This window comes from Homo sapiens, chromosome 1, assembly GCF_000001405.40.
Source record: "Homo sapiens chromosome 1, GRCh38.p14 Primary Assembly".
Classification (NCBI taxonomy): Eukaryota; Metazoa; Chordata; class Mammalia; order Primates; family Hominidae; genus Homo; species Homo sapiens.
In genome coordinates this window covers 87,310,007-87,328,379 of record NC_000001.11, presented here as the reverse complement: position 1 = coordinate 87,328,379, position 18,373 = coordinate 87,310,007, and the positions used below count along the sequence as shown (strand labels likewise).

The window sequence follows — 18,373 nt, the reverse complement described above, 5'->3', positions numbered from 1 at the left end:
CTGCCAATCCGGGGAAGGACAAAGGGATGACTGAAACGAGACTCGGGGGGCGGGAGAGAGAGCGAGGCGGCAGAGCTGGCCGACAGAGGAGAAGGGAAGGGCCCGAATCAGGTGGGGTGAAGTGACCCGGGCGCCTGGGGCCGGGGACCCGCTTGGGCTGCCCTTCGCGACCCGGGATCCGGAGTCGAGACGCAGGGCGGGGCCTCACCTGCCTTCTCAGCGCACGGGGACCCTGAGGACCCGCGCCCGCTCGCCCCTCGGGGACTGCCATCCCCTCTATCTGAGAGGAGACCCTTAGGAAACTTACCATCTTTCTCAGAAATGGGTCTCTTCCTGTTTGGGAAGATAAGTCCTGCATCTTAGGGCAGTGGACTTCTATCCCCTCACGCACAAGCACACAGAAGAGGATTTTTGTTGTTGTTTCTTTAATTCACGATATTGGAGATTTATGAACCGTAGTGGAAGCTTAGTTAACAAGGTAGAAACATAAAGGAAATAATAGTTGCTAGCTAAATACTGCCTACTTAGCCTCCCTCATACTCCCATTTTTCCGAGTTTGAAAGTGCCTAGCAGGCATTTCCTGGATCCTTGTCAATTGCTGGTGATGTAGGGAGCACAGTCCTTATTTTCAAAGTTGACGAAAACTTAAGGGAGAAAGCCTTTCCCGACTACCCTCCTCACTGTGGAGGATGAGAGGCGGAAATTCTCACAGCCCCCAAAAGCAATGGAAGTAATTGCAAGATTTGCAATCTCACAGCCTCTAGAGAGTAAGAAATGTCACTTCTAGTATAAATCAAGTTTTGAGGAATGCTTTTAGGGTGCTAGCCTGAGAGTCTTTTTCCAAGGCCGAAGCACAGCCTAGATGCTTGAATACCTAGGCATTCGACTTTATCTACTCTGCCAAATAGGTTAAATAAATCTCCAGACTGAGGCTAATATTAGGCCTGATTATTGTTAGTAAGTTCCAGAGAGATTTTTCTGGTGGAAATTATCATGAAAGTGCAAAGCCCTTCTGCTAAGTATCATTAAGTAAAACCAGCCTTGTGGGGCAAGTTTTCATATTGTGTTACACACAGTACTGCTAGATTGAGGAAAGGAACCTGAAGGAGAATCTGGCGAGACAATGCAGATGTTGAACATTTAGGGTTTTAGTGTCTATTTGGGGGATTTCTGTCTTTCAAACCATCAAAATTAATAAGGCTGCATAAGAAAGAATAATTATTGCCCATACAGTCAGGTAGAGGGCATTTTAAATATCAATTCAAATACTCATTTTTTAATTCTAGCACCTTAAAATTAAATGAATTAATTTTATTGATTTGTATTTAAAGTTGCACTGCTATGATGAATTCACCTTGTGCACATATAAAAAACTTTTTTTAAAAAAAAGTCATTAAAACTATAATAGTAATTAAAATGTCCTACACAGAAAACAGCTACAGATGGGCATGATTAAAGAGGACCAACTTAGAAAAGATGTAATGCTGCTTGAAGGTTAGTCAAGAAAACTCAATTAAACCAGATGAGGAGAGGAACACCATAAACAAATAATACATTTGAATCCCCTGGTTCATTTTCACTTTTTAAATAATTTATAATAAAAGGAGATGACACAAGATCTTAGTGGGCTACAATTAAGTTATGATTTGTCATGTGCAAGTAAATTTCCGTCTCTGGGCCTTAATTTTCTCATCCACAAATGAGAGAATTAAGCCAAATGGTCTTTATTTTTTCTTTTTAAAAATGATTTTCTTAGATAGAGCACATAATGCATAGATGTATAACGAATTGTGGTACTTTTCAGGATTTTTCCTGAAGAATATGCACTAAAACGAAATCTTAATTCCTGAAGGAAATGTTAGAAATTTAACCAGACACATGTTCAGCTATCATTGAGTGATTATCCAGAGGATCCCGGTGGTGTTTGTGGAAGGAAGGAGAGTGAGATGGATAAAACTTTGAATAACAGAGCTCTAGGCTACAGGGCCTACATTTTAGGAGGTGGTTTTAGTGCTTCAGCTCTAATTCTGTGCGGAGTGAGGTCTTTAAACATGTCCTGGTAGATTGGAGTGGATGGGAGTGTATTACCAGAGAGCTTTATTTGCTGATGTGTGTTTATAGAAATACAAAAGCGATAATGGCTAACAGTCTCTCTTCTGAGAGGTAGGGAGTAAATACATTCACTGTAATCAAAATTCAGGTGTACTTTTACCACAGCGCCACCTCTGGGTAATCTTTATTTCTGCATTCTTTGCGTTTAGCAGTCCTTTCTCATCCTGATTTGTGGTCTGAAAATGCCTGGTTGAGTGGGTAGCAACGTCAATCTTTTATTTCCACTGATGCGAAACACAAAAACCTTGTAAACACACACAAATTCAGTATGGGTAAAGAAATTCTGTATTCGGATATTCTTCAAACAAATATTAAAAACAGTGCATAAAGTAATATTCCTGGTATGAAGTAAAATTGCCTAACTCGAAATAATGTTATATTGTGCCCCACAGTTGACGAAACCTCTGCTGATATCACACATTCATCATTCATCCTACTCATCTGCAATGAGATATAAGATTAGGGGGCTTTGGAAAAGAAAGATAAATGTAAATCGTTTCTTTCTTGAATCCTAATTAAATGTGGGAACCATACTGCTCCTAGATCAAGCCGTCATTTTCTCCACTTGCCCCAAAATTATTTGTTCATAGCTTCCTTTCTCGTTTATGTCCTTCAATCATAATCATTCTTTTCTCCAAGTGACAGTTCGCTAAGAATCTCCCATGGACAGCCAGAGGTTCTACACAGACCTATGCAGCCTTTAATGTCTGGAGAAAGTCTAGGCTATTTGATGCTGATATGACCTCCAAGACAACATGCCCCAGCTCTTTCTCAGGAAAAAATATTCTGTCCTTTTAAAGTCAATGCAAAACCGTTTTTGAAGAAAGTCTTTTTAGGAAGGAAAATTTTTAAAAATCTGCTCAACTTTATTGCTGCCATCACAGAGATCCCTTGATATTCAGTTTCCTCCAACGTGAATACAAAAAGCTTGAGTCTAGGACAACAATTCCAGAGTGTAAAAGGTGTGGAGAGAAAAGGGAACAGTAGTTACCAACAGAAAAAACCCAAGGAAGAGGAAGGGCAGGTTAGGTCCTGGGCCAGTTTTCTGTGGTGGCGTTGTCGTCTGAGCAGCAGGGTGTATGGCACAGTAAGTATAGTCGGACCTGCTGCTTCATTTAAGAATAGGAGTTTACAGGCCCAGTGGCCCACGCCTATAATCCCTGCACTTTGGGAGGCCGAGGCAGGTGAATCCCTTGAGTTCAAGACCATCCTGGGCACCATGGCAAAACTCCATCTCTACTAAAAATACAAAACTTTAGCTGGGTGTGGTGACATGTGCCTGTAGTCCCAGCTGCTGGGGATGCTGAGGTGGGAGGATCACCTGAGCCCTGGAAGTTGAGGCTGCAGTGAGCCATGATTGTGCCACAGCACTCTAACCTGGGAAATGGGAGTGAGGCCCTGTCGCAAAATAATAATAATAATAAGAGTTTACCTAGAACTCAACATCTCGAAAAGCCTATATTTCACGGAACCATATCTTGGCTTTAAAATATTGATAATATTTAATAATACTTTGAATTTACTGACTGCCTTTTTAGTCTTTCTCAAAATTCTTTATAAATATCTCACTAAATGTTTCATGTGATAAATGTTTCTAATAATTGCCTTATTAGAATATTATTGTTTGTTTTTTGTTAAAGCAATCCAGATGACTACGTTGGGTAAGTATCCCACCAAATTATGTTAATCAATATTTAGGAAGTTCTACCCTAACTACTCTTTTTAAGGTAATAAACAAGCATAGTGAAGAAGTTGATTTTATGGCAAGAAAATAACAGATCACTGAGGAAAAGGAAACAGCATTGACATTGTTGTGACTGGAAATATAATTTAAGATGTAGATTTTGATTTTAATTATTCTATTTGATTAAGGTATTTGAAACTCCTAGAGTTGATAGAAAGGTGAAAAAGATAATAGGAAAGAAGAAAACACCTCTGTGACCCAGCATTTTGCCTGATGTAGCAAGGCTACTTTAAAATAGTGTCGTGAAATTACTCATTGTCTTCGTAAAAGTTTATTAGCATAGCAACAGAACAGTACAAATCCCCCAAATTTGCCTCAGAACTATCAGCAAATCTTTTTTTTTTCTTTTTTTTTTGAGACAAGGTCTTGGATGGGTCACAGGCTAAAGGCTCACTGCAGCCTCAAACTTTGAGCTCAAGCCATCCTCCCACCTCCTTAGCCCCCTCACCCCTACCCCAGTAGCTGGGACTGCAGGTGCATACCACCACGCCCAGCTAATTTTTTTTGGTAGAGACAGGGGTCTCACTGGTTGCCCAGGCTAGTCTTGAACTCCTGGCCTCTGGGGATCCTCCCACCTCAGCCTCTCAAAGTGCTGGGATGACAGATGTGAGCCATTGTGCTCAGCCCAGCAAATCTTGATATGTGAATCTGTTTCATGGCAATGATACCATAGAAAAAATTGTTTGGCTTACTCATACTACCTATTTCTAAGCCTGAATTCTGTCAACAATATTCAATCACAGTGATATTCTGCATCTATCATTGCAAATAAATTATCAGACTATATGTGTGAGTGTATTATATGTTCATTAAGGTCTTTTAAATGGTCTAGTGGGTCAATAGCTACTGCTTATTAAAGTCAAGTCTTTGCATGGATAGATTTAATTTCATAATAGTTACAAAAGAGGGTATATAGATGACTGGGCCACTTGTATATATGTGAGGTGGTTATTACTAAGAATATATGTTGAAGTTATAAATCCAGCAGAAAATAGCAATTCTGTTTAAAATTAATTACTGTTTCTCTCCAAGACGATGGAAATGAGCACTTACTGATAGAGAAACTAAGGCATTAAGATGTAATTCGTTCTCCCTTATGTTCCCACTAACTCTTCTTGGTAAAAGAAAGGCTACTAATTCAGAAATTTTAAGGGCCCAAAACCATAATTTCTTTTGTTAGTGTCAGTTTTAATTCTAGTGTTGATATAATTAAGCTTTTTCTCTGTGTGGATTTGTAATAAGATGTATTTTAAAGTATAACATTGGTTTCTATTTGTTCACTAAAAAAGTTGATGAAAATATGATAATATTTATTCATCCAATTGTAATGAATGACTCTGTTGGAATTATGGAAGTACAATCCATAGCTGTCCTTGGACTTGGAAAGCACGCATTTCTTCTCTATACAGCACCATAAATTTTTTAGAATAAAAAGAACAACCAGATATGGATTTTTTTAAATAATAAAATTGAATAACTCAATTGACTAAAATGTGTTCCCACCACACAGAGGTACACATTATAACATCATCATTTATATTTCTCAACATAAATCAAATTTCATAATAAAATTGTTTTTGATGAATCACCACTTCTTTTCTAGCTTCAAAACATTCTGACAGAGAAAGCAAATTTGTCAATTTCTCTGTGTGATAAGAAATCACTGAAAATATATTTAAGACCTTTAGTCTAAGATAATAATTTTTTTGAAAGTTTCATTTAAAAGGAAAACATTCAAGGGAAGCCATTTTCAAATTTGGAGAAATAACTGAAGAATAAAATAGACTTTCTTTTCAGCATTTTTTTTCAATGCCATCTGCTATACTCTCTGACAATAAGGCCAGGAGAAGTCATTACAGAACAATACTCTGGAAACAATTTGCCTCAAAAAAGAATGAAAACTTAAACAACACTACCTTCATACATGTTTGCTCTAATTACAGCATTAAAACACCCAAGCATTGTCCCCAGATGCCTCTCTCTGTCCTCTTTTTATTGCTTTTCTCCACTGAGATAACATTTAACACTGCATTGAAATTCCTACTTACTGCTTGTGTCCAGTAGTAAATCCTAGCACATTATTAGAATATCTGCCTGTTATCAGCTCCGTCAGGGAATGAATTATTGACTATAACTCATTGCTGGGAAGACTACGCATGACACTCCAGTGAAGTTTTGATAATTTCTAGAAGTCATGGTAATTTATGGAAGGGGGTTTTGATTGATCTCCCACCACCTATTTTGCACCTATCAGTAAATAGGACACATATTGATGGCCTACTTGAACTCCATTAACAATATGGGGGAATTCACAACTTAAGCATTTCTCTTTTTTCTAGTGTGATTTCTATTAAGACGGTCACTCAGTTTCTATTAATTTTCATCTGTGTGGTTTACTCCTGAGAGGGAGGAATCACAGATCTCAACTATTGAATGCATAACATCACTATTCTACTAATGATTTAGATATAGTTTTCATTTGTAGTTATACCAGCGTCTGCCTTTTGGAAAGAAAGCCCTAAGATCATTGGAACAGATAGAGGTGGAGCAGAACAAATACTGAAAGATTTTAAAAGGTCTCTTCAAGTGTTGTAATACAGCTGATAGAATAAAAGAGAATTTTTTTGAATTAATGGATAGTAGGCAAGTTCATTATTATTTGGGAAAAAGTTTATAATATATTTGATATAAAATGTACAGATACCATTTAATGTGTTATGACTATCACTTTAAAGTTCATTTGCCAGAACGTTAAATAACAATCATCACCAATCACAACTCTCTTTCAGTTTTAGGTTTATTTTCCTCCTGTCTCATTTTTGCTGGGTTTCTCCAAATTCAATTATTTCTCAGGGTAAACTCTACTAGACAAATGTTCCTTTTATTTCCTTACTGAGTTTTCATCATTGTGATTTCATTATTGTTTTATTTACTACAACAATTGCTTTCTAGAAAAACAACCAGTATTTTCAACTCTTAATATGTACTATGTAATATCGCAAACAATATAAATAATAATTTAAAATTTAATGGTTATTTCCTAGATGACATTTAAAACATGCCTTGATTTCTAGAAATTTTATCTTATACCCAATAATATTTAATAATCTGATGCAAAAATAATGGTGTCTCTTTTGCCAGAGCAGTCAAGATTGGAGGCGGGTAACTTGACTGAACACTTGGCTTAAAGAAAATAATTCTTTTTTCATTTTATCTTAATTTAGTAGCTTCTAGCAGTCATCTAAACAATCTTAAAATTAAAAGATAATGTTAATGGGAGAGACTGTTGTCATAGGATAATGGTTTCCTGCTGCTAGATTAATGCAGTGGCAATAATACTGGAGCATTTATTGAAAATAAAGGGAAAGACAAAGCCAGAATATTTATTTTTAAAGCAGGTGTCATGGATCCTATGACACTGTTGTGTTATAATTACTATGTTTTAATTTTACCAAATGGCTGATGCAGAATGACCCCTTTCCCTGATGGTTGTGGGATGGCAATGACCCTGGCTGTATCCCCATTAATGGAGAGCAATACTTTGTGTCTGGAGGAGACTGTTGTGTGATTCTTCCAATCAGAAGACAGCTTCTAAAGGTTGTGTAATTTAAAGAAACAAATACCAAAAACGCACAAATAAATTTGTCCTTGACCAAACAAACAAAAGGCAAGAGCCTACTTAACAGTGTCATCAATTGTTCTAGAAACACCAATAAACCCCCACATTGGCACCCAAATACATTTCTGTCCAGGAAGCCCCAGGAATTGCCTACACGACAAAAGCTCCATCCATGGATGTTAGCCACTGTAGCCAACTATCCTGGATTTACCTTCTTTGAATACATAATGATAATCTGGGGCTAAGTAATAGACTTCTCCAAATGGCATTCTCCCAGGAATGCTGTGGTAGTCAAAATTCTAAGATATACCCCCAAGATTCCCCTCCTCGGGTGTGTGTGCCCTTCATAACACCTCGTCCTTGAGTGCAGGTGGGCCTGCGTTAATTAGGCGAGCCCTTGTGAGAGAGGTCTAAAGATAGAAGACATGAAAGAGATTCAGAGCTGCAGAAGATGCTCTCCTGTTGTTCTGCAAGGGGCAGACTGCCATATGTGAGAGGCTCTATGGAGAGGCCACACAGGAAGCAAGGACCTGCATGCAGCCTCCAGGAGCTGAGAGCGGTCCCTGGCCAAAAGCTGGCAAGGAATTGGAGACCTCAGTCCTACTGCCATAAGGACATGCATCCTGCCAACAACCAGGGATCTTGGAATGAGAACATAAGCCTCAGATGAGATGGCAGTCCCAGGTGACACCTTGATTTCAGCCTGGTGAGACCCTGAACAGAGAACCCATCTGCACCATACATGAACACCAGCCTACAGAGGCTCTGAGATAACAAATGGGTGTTGTTTTAAGCCACTGCATTTATGATCATTTATTATGCAGCAGTAGAAAGCTAACAAATGCTGTGAGAAAAAGCCAAATGAGATATTTTGTTGCCACCTATTTCTCTCTACTATGAATTCTTCCATTTGCTCCCTATTGTCCAATCTCCCTCTCTAGCAGAGCCTAGGACAAAAAGCTGGAGTGTCCTCACTATAATCAGGGTGTGGACCAGTTAGGATCTGGGTTATAAGCACGAAATACCAATAACTAACTCATACATGAGGGAATGTATTAAAAGATATCAGGGGTTCTTAGAATCAACACGAGGCCTGAGGACCAGTCTGAGAAAAAGCAAGAACCAGAAGTGCTCTAAAAAGTTACGAAGTAGGAATATCAACAGTGGTCTCCTAGCAGAAATAGGGTGGTTAGTATGGTGTTGCCTAGACAAATGACCTTTAACTGTTCCTATTCTTCCCTGGGCCACCTAGTCAAGTTGCAAAATCCCTAAAAAGAGCCTCCTATTGGGCACTCTGTCATGTACCTGACTCTTAAGAAGAGGAGCAGCCCTCTTAGGGCGTCTGCAGTTGGAGCAAACCCTGGAAGTCCCCTCCCTCCCAGAATCTATAGAGTGAAAGAGATAATTCCCCACAGGAAAATAGATAGTGGACTTTTTTTTTTTTAAGTGATGAATGTCAGCCAAATTGTATGTGGTCAGAGGGTGAATGCTAGAATCAGGTATGAGGAGGAGCAGAGAGCCCATCAGGCAATCACATCCAAAGCAGGTCATCAAAAAAATAGGAGTTTTAGGCCACAAGAGACCTCATAATAAGTATGAGAAACAGATACCTGCAGCACATAGGGCCATCTGAGCAAATTCTAGACCCAAGAATCCAACTGGCTTCCTACACGCCCCACACTTGGGTGGTTTAGACCTATGTAGACCAGCCAGAATAAGACTGAGATCTACCTCTTTTGTGTTTAACACTCATCAATTTCTTACTTGTCACCATATCATAAGCACCATATTTCCTATCTCTTAGGATTATAAGTGTCCATGACTATTTGCAGGAGGAAAGAAGGTGGGGAAGATGTTACACATTTCACAGTTGTTATATGCATGTTGAGGAGGGCAGTGGGAAAACCAGTCTGGTAGGTTCAGGGCATTTGTGTAGGATTTGTGTCAGTTGCCATACACAAATGGACTCCTGGTTTTCTTCGTTATTTTTACCTCAATTAAAATTGTGCTATCCTCAGTTCATTCATACATTCAAAAAACATTTATTGAGCACCCATTATGTGCCAACCAATGTTCAAGGTGGTAGAGATACAGCAGCAAAGAAAGCAAAGCCCCTGCCCTTATGGCATTTATAAATTGTTGCATGTTAGAAGGTGGAACATGCTAGGAAGAAAAGGAAGCGGGGTAAAAATGATAGGGAGTGGTGGGGCCAAGTGGAAAGGCTCTTGGTGGTCGAGCACAATTTTGTGTAGGTGAGCCAGGGGAGGCTTCAATGACAAGATAATATTTGCCCAAAGACATAAGGAAGTAAAGGAGCCGTGCTCCTAAGGGAAAGAGAATTCCAGGTAGGAGCACCAATGTTGCAAATGCCCTAAGGAAGATGTGTTTGGTGTGTTTTAGAAGCAGGTAGGAGACCAGGTTGCCTGGGGTGTAGTAGATGAGATCAGAGTTTAGATTGGGACAGATGTGGGACTTGGGCTTTTACCTGGATGTTACTGGAGGATTCTGAGCAGAAAAGAGATATGATCTGATCTACACGTTAAACACTTCATCCTGGCTGCTGGGTGAGAACAAACAACAAAGCAGTCAGGAAGAAGCAGAAAGATCACCATGACGAGGTTCTTGCAGAAATCAAGCAAGAGGTGATGGTGGCTGGAACCACAGTGATAGCAGAAGCGAAAGTAAGAAGTGATCAGATTTTGGATATATTTTGAATATCTGGGGCAGATAGAACCATGGTTTCTATTTCACAATTTACATTTGAGTTCATGCGCCTTTGACAATCTTTGGTGTTTCCATGTTTCATGGCAGCTATACCTTCCCTTCTGTTTCTGAGAAGCTGGGCAGGCACCTCCCCCCATCTCTCACCTCACAAAATTCCTCTCCTCACATTCTGAGTTTATGTCAGAAATAGCCACAATATTGTTTTTCACTCAGATATTTCTATTTTAACTCAGAAGGGAGAAATAACAAATATTGGACCTCCCAAGGAATACAGACACTAAACTAGGTTCTTTCCATAGTGCAATTCATTTAATCATAATAACTACCTAATACAATAGGCATCATTGCCATTGCCTCCATTTTAACACTGAAGAAACTCAAATCATAAATGTTAAGTGATTGCCCAAGAATAGCATCAAAGCTGAGGTGCAAAACTTGGAATTCAGCAAAGCTTAATAGATTGAAGAAACCTTCCACGGTCCACTCCTACATGCTAATAAATTAGTCTGTGCAACTTTAGCTTCTAAACCCGTGGTTCTCAACTGGGGATGGTTTTTGCCCCCCAGTGGACATTTGGCAATGTCTAGAGACACTTTTGGTTGTCACACTGGGGAAACAGGGAGTTGCTACTAGCATCAGTGGGTGGAGGCCAAGGATGCTGCTAAACATCCTGCAAGGCACAAGAAAGCCCCCAACGACAAAGAATTATTCTGTCCTAATTTTTTTTTTTTTGAGATGAAGTCTCACTCTGTTGCCCAGGCTGGAGTGCAGTGGCATGATCTTGCCTCACTGCAGCCTTCATCTCCCGGGTTCAAGCAATTTTCCTGCCTCAGCCTCCTGAGTAGCTGGGATTACAGGCACCTGCCACCAAGTCCGGCTAATTACTTTGTATTTTTAGTAGAGATGGGGTTTCACCATGTTGGCCAGGCTGGTCTCAAACTCCTGACCTCAGGTGATCCACCCGCCTCAGCCTCCCAGAGTGCTGGGATTACAGGCGTGAGCCACTGCACCCGACCTTCTGTGTCCAAATGTTAAAAGTGCCTAGATTGAGACCACTGCTCTAAACCATTGTTCCATCATTGGACTGTCATAGTAGAAGTAACATAAGCTATGACACACTTATTAATAATCTTTCATTAAGATCTAAAACTAAGGAACTTTCTATAGTCAGAACAATTTCAGTGTGTTGGTTGGGGTTAAATTTATAGTCATCAAGGGAAGTTGCACCCAGTATGCCCATGGCACAATGCTGTGTGCTTATATAAGCTCAAGAATACAAAAGCAAAACTCTAAAATGGAAGTTAATAAATATCCAACTAAATGTCTACAAATGGTAGTGAATTTACTGGACAATTGCAATATATTTCGCTTCTTATATAGGCACGCTCAAATTATATTACTGTGGGATGTGTTTGATATGATTTGGGCAGATACTCCAAAAGTAAGATTTTTCTAGGCTCCACAGCATTCTGATAATAGCTCTACAGTCATTGTTTTAAAGAGTGAAATCAGGAACAGGGCAAGGCTGTACCTGAATGAAGTGAGATGCTAAATTGTGCCAAGATTTGACAGAAATGCATTCAGGCAACAAAAACAGCAAATGCAAAGACTCTGGGGTGGAAATAAGTATGGCATGCTTAGTGTTAGCTCATGCTGCTAGAATGGAGTGAGAGGGACAGAGTGTAACAGAAAATACTGGAGAGAGAAACAGAGCCTTTAGATTTTAATCTGAGCATATTGGGAGGCCATTGGAGGGTGTTAAGTGGGGTTGTGCCATAATCTGATTTAATTTTTAAGAAGTTAACTGGCCTTTGGGGAAGAATTGATTAGAGGGATATGTGGCAGAAATTACTACAAGCTTACCACAGGATTCGTTTTTCCTTAGAAATAGAACCCCAATTTAAACTGTGTATATTGGCACCTGGAATAAAGGGCTGCATTTCCTAAACTTCCCTTGCAGCTCAATAGACCTTGTGACTACATTTTGGCCAATAAATTCTATGTAAGAGGAAGGGTGGATAGGACTTCTAGGAATGTGTTTAAAGAGAGCTCATTCAGCTCTCTTCTTCTCTTCTGTTTCTTCCTTCTTTGGGCCTGAAATGTGGACCTAATCACTAAAGCTTCACCATGAGATGGCCTTGAGGATAGAAGTTGCGTACTAAGATGATGGAGCAGACAGATGAAACCTTGTACTAAGATGATGGAGCAGACAGATGAAAGATGGAGGCCTTGGTGAAAGGCAGGTCCCTGGCAATACTATGAAGTTGTCAAACCAGCACTGCAATAGTTACTTCCAAACATATGAGAGAGAAATAAACATATCTTGCTTACAACTTTTTAAATTTTTTGCAGAGAGTTGAAATTAATTCTGACACAGGAAGCAAAAGTGGAAGTGAGAAACTAATAAAGAGATGACTGCAGTATTCCATGTGAGAGATGAAGTTGATGTGGACCAGGGCAAATGGTGGAAGTGCTGGGAGGTGTAAGATACCAAATATACTTTGAAGGTAATGTTAAGAGCACATGCCAGTGTCCTTTGTGGGGAACTAAAGGGAAAGAACAAAATCAAGGATGACTTCATTTTCTGGGATAAGCAGATGAAAGAGAGCTGTCCTTTTCTGAATGGGAGGCCTGGGAAAGGATTATGGGGTAAATCGAGATTCTGTTTTGGACCTAAGCGTAATAAGATTGAGATCCCCATTTAACCTCCATGTAGTGAAGTTGAGAAGTCAATTAGATATGTAGGTCTGGAGCTCATGGGATAAGTCTATGCTATAGAAATAGATCTGGAAATTGTTAATATATAAAAGGTTTCACAACCATGAATAAGACTATAAGGGGCCAATAATTGAGCCCTGGGTTGATCCAACTTTAAAGGTCATGAAGAGGAGGAAGAGAAGTCCAGTACTTGAAAAAGAGGAGGTAATAAAATTGGAGGAAAACCAGAGGATACATGAAGAAAATGTTGTAAGAAGAACACTAGTCAAATCTGCAAATGCTGCTAAGAGGCTAAGGTGATGATTGAAAATAGGTCATTGATTTGGGAGGATGGCTTTATTTGGAAGGGAAGTACCCATTGGACTTCCCTTCCCCTTTATGTCTCACTGGCTAGAACAAGATCATATGCTCAGCCCTAAGCCAATCCTGATTAAATCCCTGAGCCAGCCAAGGAGAAAAACACCTTCTCTTGAATCAACTGATCTCTGCCTTGAAAAAAATCAGGAATTGATTAGCAGAGAAGTGGGGGCAGGGAAATGGCTGATGGTTAGGCAATAAACAGTATCTGCCACAGTGCTTTTTATTGTGACATAAAAATTCCAAGCCTCATCACAGTTAGGGCTGGTACTACATTGGGCACATGTAGTAAAGTGATCTGGTGCTCTTTTCGCTGTTGCCATTGATCTTGTGATGAACTGCTTGTCAGGCATTTGTATACTATTAATTGCAAAATAATCACTCCCATCTTCAAGAAAGTCAACACACCAAAGACTTCTAAAACTAAATAAAGATGCTGTCAAGTGAAAAAAAAGAAAGGAATCAACAGCATGGATTTTTTTTCCCTCTAAAATTCTAGAGCCACCTGCTTGTCAGCTTGGAAGAGTAAAAACATGTTTACTTTTTGGTCACATGCATGAAAACTACAAAGTTATTACTGACCAAGTGTTTAAAAAATGATGCTAGAGATTATTTTTTAAAAAGCATCCAAGAGAATCCTCCATGTTTACCTTAAAATTTGGATCTCTTACTGTCTACTTCTCCATTCTCTGGTAAAATCACCCTTACTTGCCTTGATAAAGTTCCTTAAAGTTAGCATTACATTGTCATTTGTCTCAAAGACTAAACCAGGTTATGGGAACTAGTCTCTCTTACTTCCTCTAACTCTGCTACCGGATATGGAAATTGTGCTTATGAAATGAGGGGGTAGCGCTGGGAAGCAGGGAGTGCTGCCTTATTCACAGCAAATGTGATCCTGTGAGACTGGGCCGGGCCTCATCCTCATAATAATAATAAGCTACACACGTATTACCTGCACCTTAGGAATGCTACGTTGCCTCTCGTAAGAAAATCTGAAGACACCAAAAGCTGCTGGAGCAAAATGAATAAGGAAATAATGACAGAGGGCCCACTATGTCTGAGCAAAGCCCTTCACACAGTGTACAGCACCGAGTAGGCCCTCAATCAATGATAGCTCAATGAACACAAGATACGGCAAAACACACAGAGGGGTCATGTCCTCTGGGCTTTTAAAATCTAGTCTAAGAAGAAAGAGTTAAAGGATAAAGAAACAACTAAAGGCAAGTAGAGAATTTTGGCATGCTGTTTTTATCAGCTGCAAAGAGACAAAGGAGACTACCAGATGGCAGTGAGTAAAGTGGAAAATCTATCAGATTCCAAGGTGAGAAGAGACATTAAGGTTTCTCTGACCCAACTCCTTCATTTCACAATGAAGTCAGGGAAGTGCAGAGGTCCAGGATTCAGTAGCAATCACCTAGCAAGCTAGAGGCAGAGCCTACCCTGGGCCCCAGGTTGCACTCTTCCCACCTCATCAATTGCTGGCTACACCCCCTTCCAATCCCAGGACACGATTCCCTTTATTGACGGGTGATTTATCAAGAGAACAGGTATGAGAGCCACAAAAGATCGAACCCTATGCTCAACTTTGTCTTCTGACTTCATACTTTAAATTGACCCTTCACTTTTGACTGGAGGTCATTGAGATAGGTTACTTAGAATAGTAATCTCAAGTGTGTGACAGGCATTGTTGTTTATCTTTCCAGCAAATCATTCACAACCATCCCCTTTCTCCTCTCTAGTGGAAGCTTGGTTTTGTTCAGTTACCAAGCCAAGTGGTTTACCAGAACCTAAAACTTCACAGACTACAGAGGTGAATCATGATTGGTTGAAACCTGGAGCACTCCTTGCCAGTGATTGGTTTAGGAGTAGGCATGTGCTTCCTTTTGACCAGTAAGATGTGAAAAGGTATTTCCAGGAAAGGTATCCTTGCTCTTTATCAGAACAAACCCAGAAAAGTGGGAAAGAAATGGTCCCATATCTTATACCTTTAGATGGTGTTATGTGAGGACCACATACCTGGACCTCCTGTTATCTGGTGACCATGAAGGGAGTCACCAACGCCATGAGGCAAAGGGAGTAAAAAGATAGTAAGAACTGTGTCTTTAATAATGTTGGTGGGGGCCTGAATTAATCCAACTGGAAACTTGGGATTTCTAACTTCTCGTTACTGAGTAAATAAATACCCCTATTGTTCTAACCACTTTAATTTTTTATTTTAATTTATTTTTGAAGACTAAGTCTCACTCTGTCGCCCAGGCTGGAGTGCAGTGGTGCAATCTCAGCTCGCTGCAACTTCCGCCTCCCAAGTTCAAGTGATTCTCCTGCCTCAGTGTCGCGAGTAGCTAGGATTACAGGTACATGTCACCACGCCTGCCTAATTTTTGTATTTTTAATAGAGATGGGGTTTCACCGTGTTGGCCAGGCTGGTCTCGAACTCCTAATCTAAGGTGCTCCGCCCACCTCGGCCTCCCAAAGTGCTGGAATTACAGTCTAGACACTTTTAACTGAGTTTTCTGATCATTGCAGCCGAAAGCATCCTAATTATTATAAAGTAAGAACCAATCTTCAGAATTTCTGATAATCCTGAAGAGGTTTATTTTGTTTTCTGAAAACAACAACAATGACAACAAAGAGGGCTGCCTTCAGGATGATGTTTCTGCAAGTAGGCTTTCCCAGTAGCAAGGCCTCCCTGGCGTCCTGATTCCACCACATGCTATCTCCTAACACTCTTGTTTCCAGAATGCCTATTATTTTTAATGTGGGATTTTGGCCTCGGCCAAATCTTGTTTATACCATTAGGATTTAACATGCCTCATGCCTCATGCCTCTGTTGGGTTTCTCTTGTTCCTTACCGCCTGTTTCAGAAGGCTAGGGAGACCTTGAAAAAAACATAGACATTGGGAGAGGAAACAAATTCTCCGTATCAGTCTTATGGGTACTAATATCTGTTTCCCACCAGATGGATGAGGTTTCAGGATCTGCTAAACTCATGATGTGTACATTTGAAATGTATAAAACGTTCCCTTTGTTTCATCTGTTTGAATGGGGGCAGTAATGATATTCCTTCACGGTATATAGTTATTAAGAGTCCTTTGCTTATGTTAAGGGGGCTTATGGAAGGTTTCAGCCAAACACAAAACCACTTATTAGGACAAACAGGGCTTTTAAAAGAATACTATACTCTCATGAATAAACTAGTTTCTGATTGGCTAGAGTTGCAATTTAGCTTTTATCAGTAATTAAGGGCAAGCCATGGAGCAAACTCGTTAGTTGACACCAATTACAATTGGTAGACGAACTAATGAGTCCAAGAAAAAAGTTATTTATTTCTAAACTTTTGAAGCATAATTGTTGTGTAAATCGGATAGCGAGCAAATCTTTTCCATACGTTTAGGTTGGTAATTGAGAAATAAAATGGTTACCAAATGTACTCTTTGTCCAGTTTTGTTCTGCAGCCGGTCTCTCTTGGGACTCTTTAAAGTGTAAGGAAAAGGTGATGTCAACAGCAACGTACTCTGGGCAAACGGAGCCAGGATTAATTAATAGAGATGAAAGGGAAACACTAGACCTTTCTAAACCATCGCCTTACAGTCCCCACAGTTAGATGCTTGCTGTTCTGCAGATGACCAAACACAGTGCCGAGGATGAGGGCCAGGGCCCAGAGACTGCCTTGTATTTAAAAACAAAACAAAACAAGAGAATGGAGAATGAGCCTTGTCTCCATCTCATTTCTAGCATGTAGTCTTAAAAATGAGGAACTCTCAAGAGCTTTTCCCTTTGAAGTTTAATATGTGGGACTTTACATCAGTATAACATTTTAAATGTGTTAAACAAATTAGTCTCTGGTTACAAAAGTTTTGAGACATTTGCAAGTTGCTGTTTAACTAAATTTAATATGTGCCAGCAAAGTTGATCGTGCAGTTGTTCATTTAGAAGAATGCACATTCGGAATGATTAATAAATAAACCAGCCTCCCATTGCTTCAACCTCTGTGTTTATTTGAAGGCAATCTACTTTAAAAAGACATTAATATTCTTAGAATTATTATTAGAATAATTGCTTTTACTCTGCTCAGAACACACATTTTTTCTCATTTCCCTTCAGCACAGACAGCTTTTCACTCAGATATAAACTTCCCATTATTATTCCCCACCCCCCAAAAATGAAGAATAGGAATTATACATTTTTCACTAAGGAATAATTAATTTGTCTCAAGTATTAGAACAGAGAATTGTAGAGTGACTTTGAATGGTAGTCTCTGAGGAGTAGCATTGTTTGTTCTCTCCAGTGTTTAATGAGCTTTAGTAAATGGCCAGGAAAAATTACCTTCTTTCTGTAATATGAGAGAGGCGAAGAATGAAGGAAGCTATAGAATCCCTAGGAGAAAAAAGAACACACACACACACACACACACACACACGCATATGCACACACATATACACCTCCTTCACAACAGCACTCTGGTTGGTTAGGAGAACACAGTTCTCCTTTAGACTTATTTGAGGACAAGAGATCTGGTTACTAAGTGCATTAAAACAGAAGCATGTCCCTAATTTGTATTGATTATTGTTATCGTTACCACTGTTGAATCTGCTGGGGAAACCATCCATTCTACAATTCCATGGGGCTGGATATTTGTTACACCCGCCATGTTAAATTTCTTTCCCCTTTAATGACTGAAAGAAAATTAGAACTAGAGCTTTAACATAAATTAGCTTTAAAGAAGCTGCCCCTCCCCCACAGGTCACTGAACTCCATAAAAAGATCCCCCACATTGTAAAGGTCCTACCCTAAAGGAGACTCAGTACAGCCAAAAGACATTTACAAAGAGCTAGATCATTTTTCCCAGGTTGCCATAGACCCCTGGGCTGGCACTCAAGAAATGGAAATATTTTTAGTCCTAAAATTCCTCAAATAAAGGGGAAGTTTTACACTCATTTAAAGGTGGCCTGGAAAGTGGCTACGCAGGAGACTCTGAAGTTCATCCCCTCAAGCTCGTGCTGGGATCTAAGGAGACCATGAGACAACACCCCTCTTCTTGCCCGACTGCTGAACCAACTAAGATATAACCCGAAGGGACAAGGCAGGAGGGGCCCAAA

General features: G+C 39.8%; 2 annotated features.

The window, feature by feature from the left end:
- Window positions 129-298: a silencer, noted in NCBI's record as "silent region_1045". NCBI's record gives its function as "represses an Ori minimal core promoter by ATAC-STARR-seq in GM12878 lymphoblastoid cells {active_cell/tissue: GM12878}" and the evidence as "EXISTENCE:reporter gene assay evidence [ECO:0000049][PMID:35858748]".
- Window positions 2,268-2,317: a silencer, noted in NCBI's record as "silent region_1044". NCBI's record gives its function as "represses an Ori minimal core promoter by ATAC-STARR-seq in GM12878 lymphoblastoid cells {active_cell/tissue: GM12878}" and the evidence as "EXISTENCE:reporter gene assay evidence [ECO:0000049][PMID:35858748]".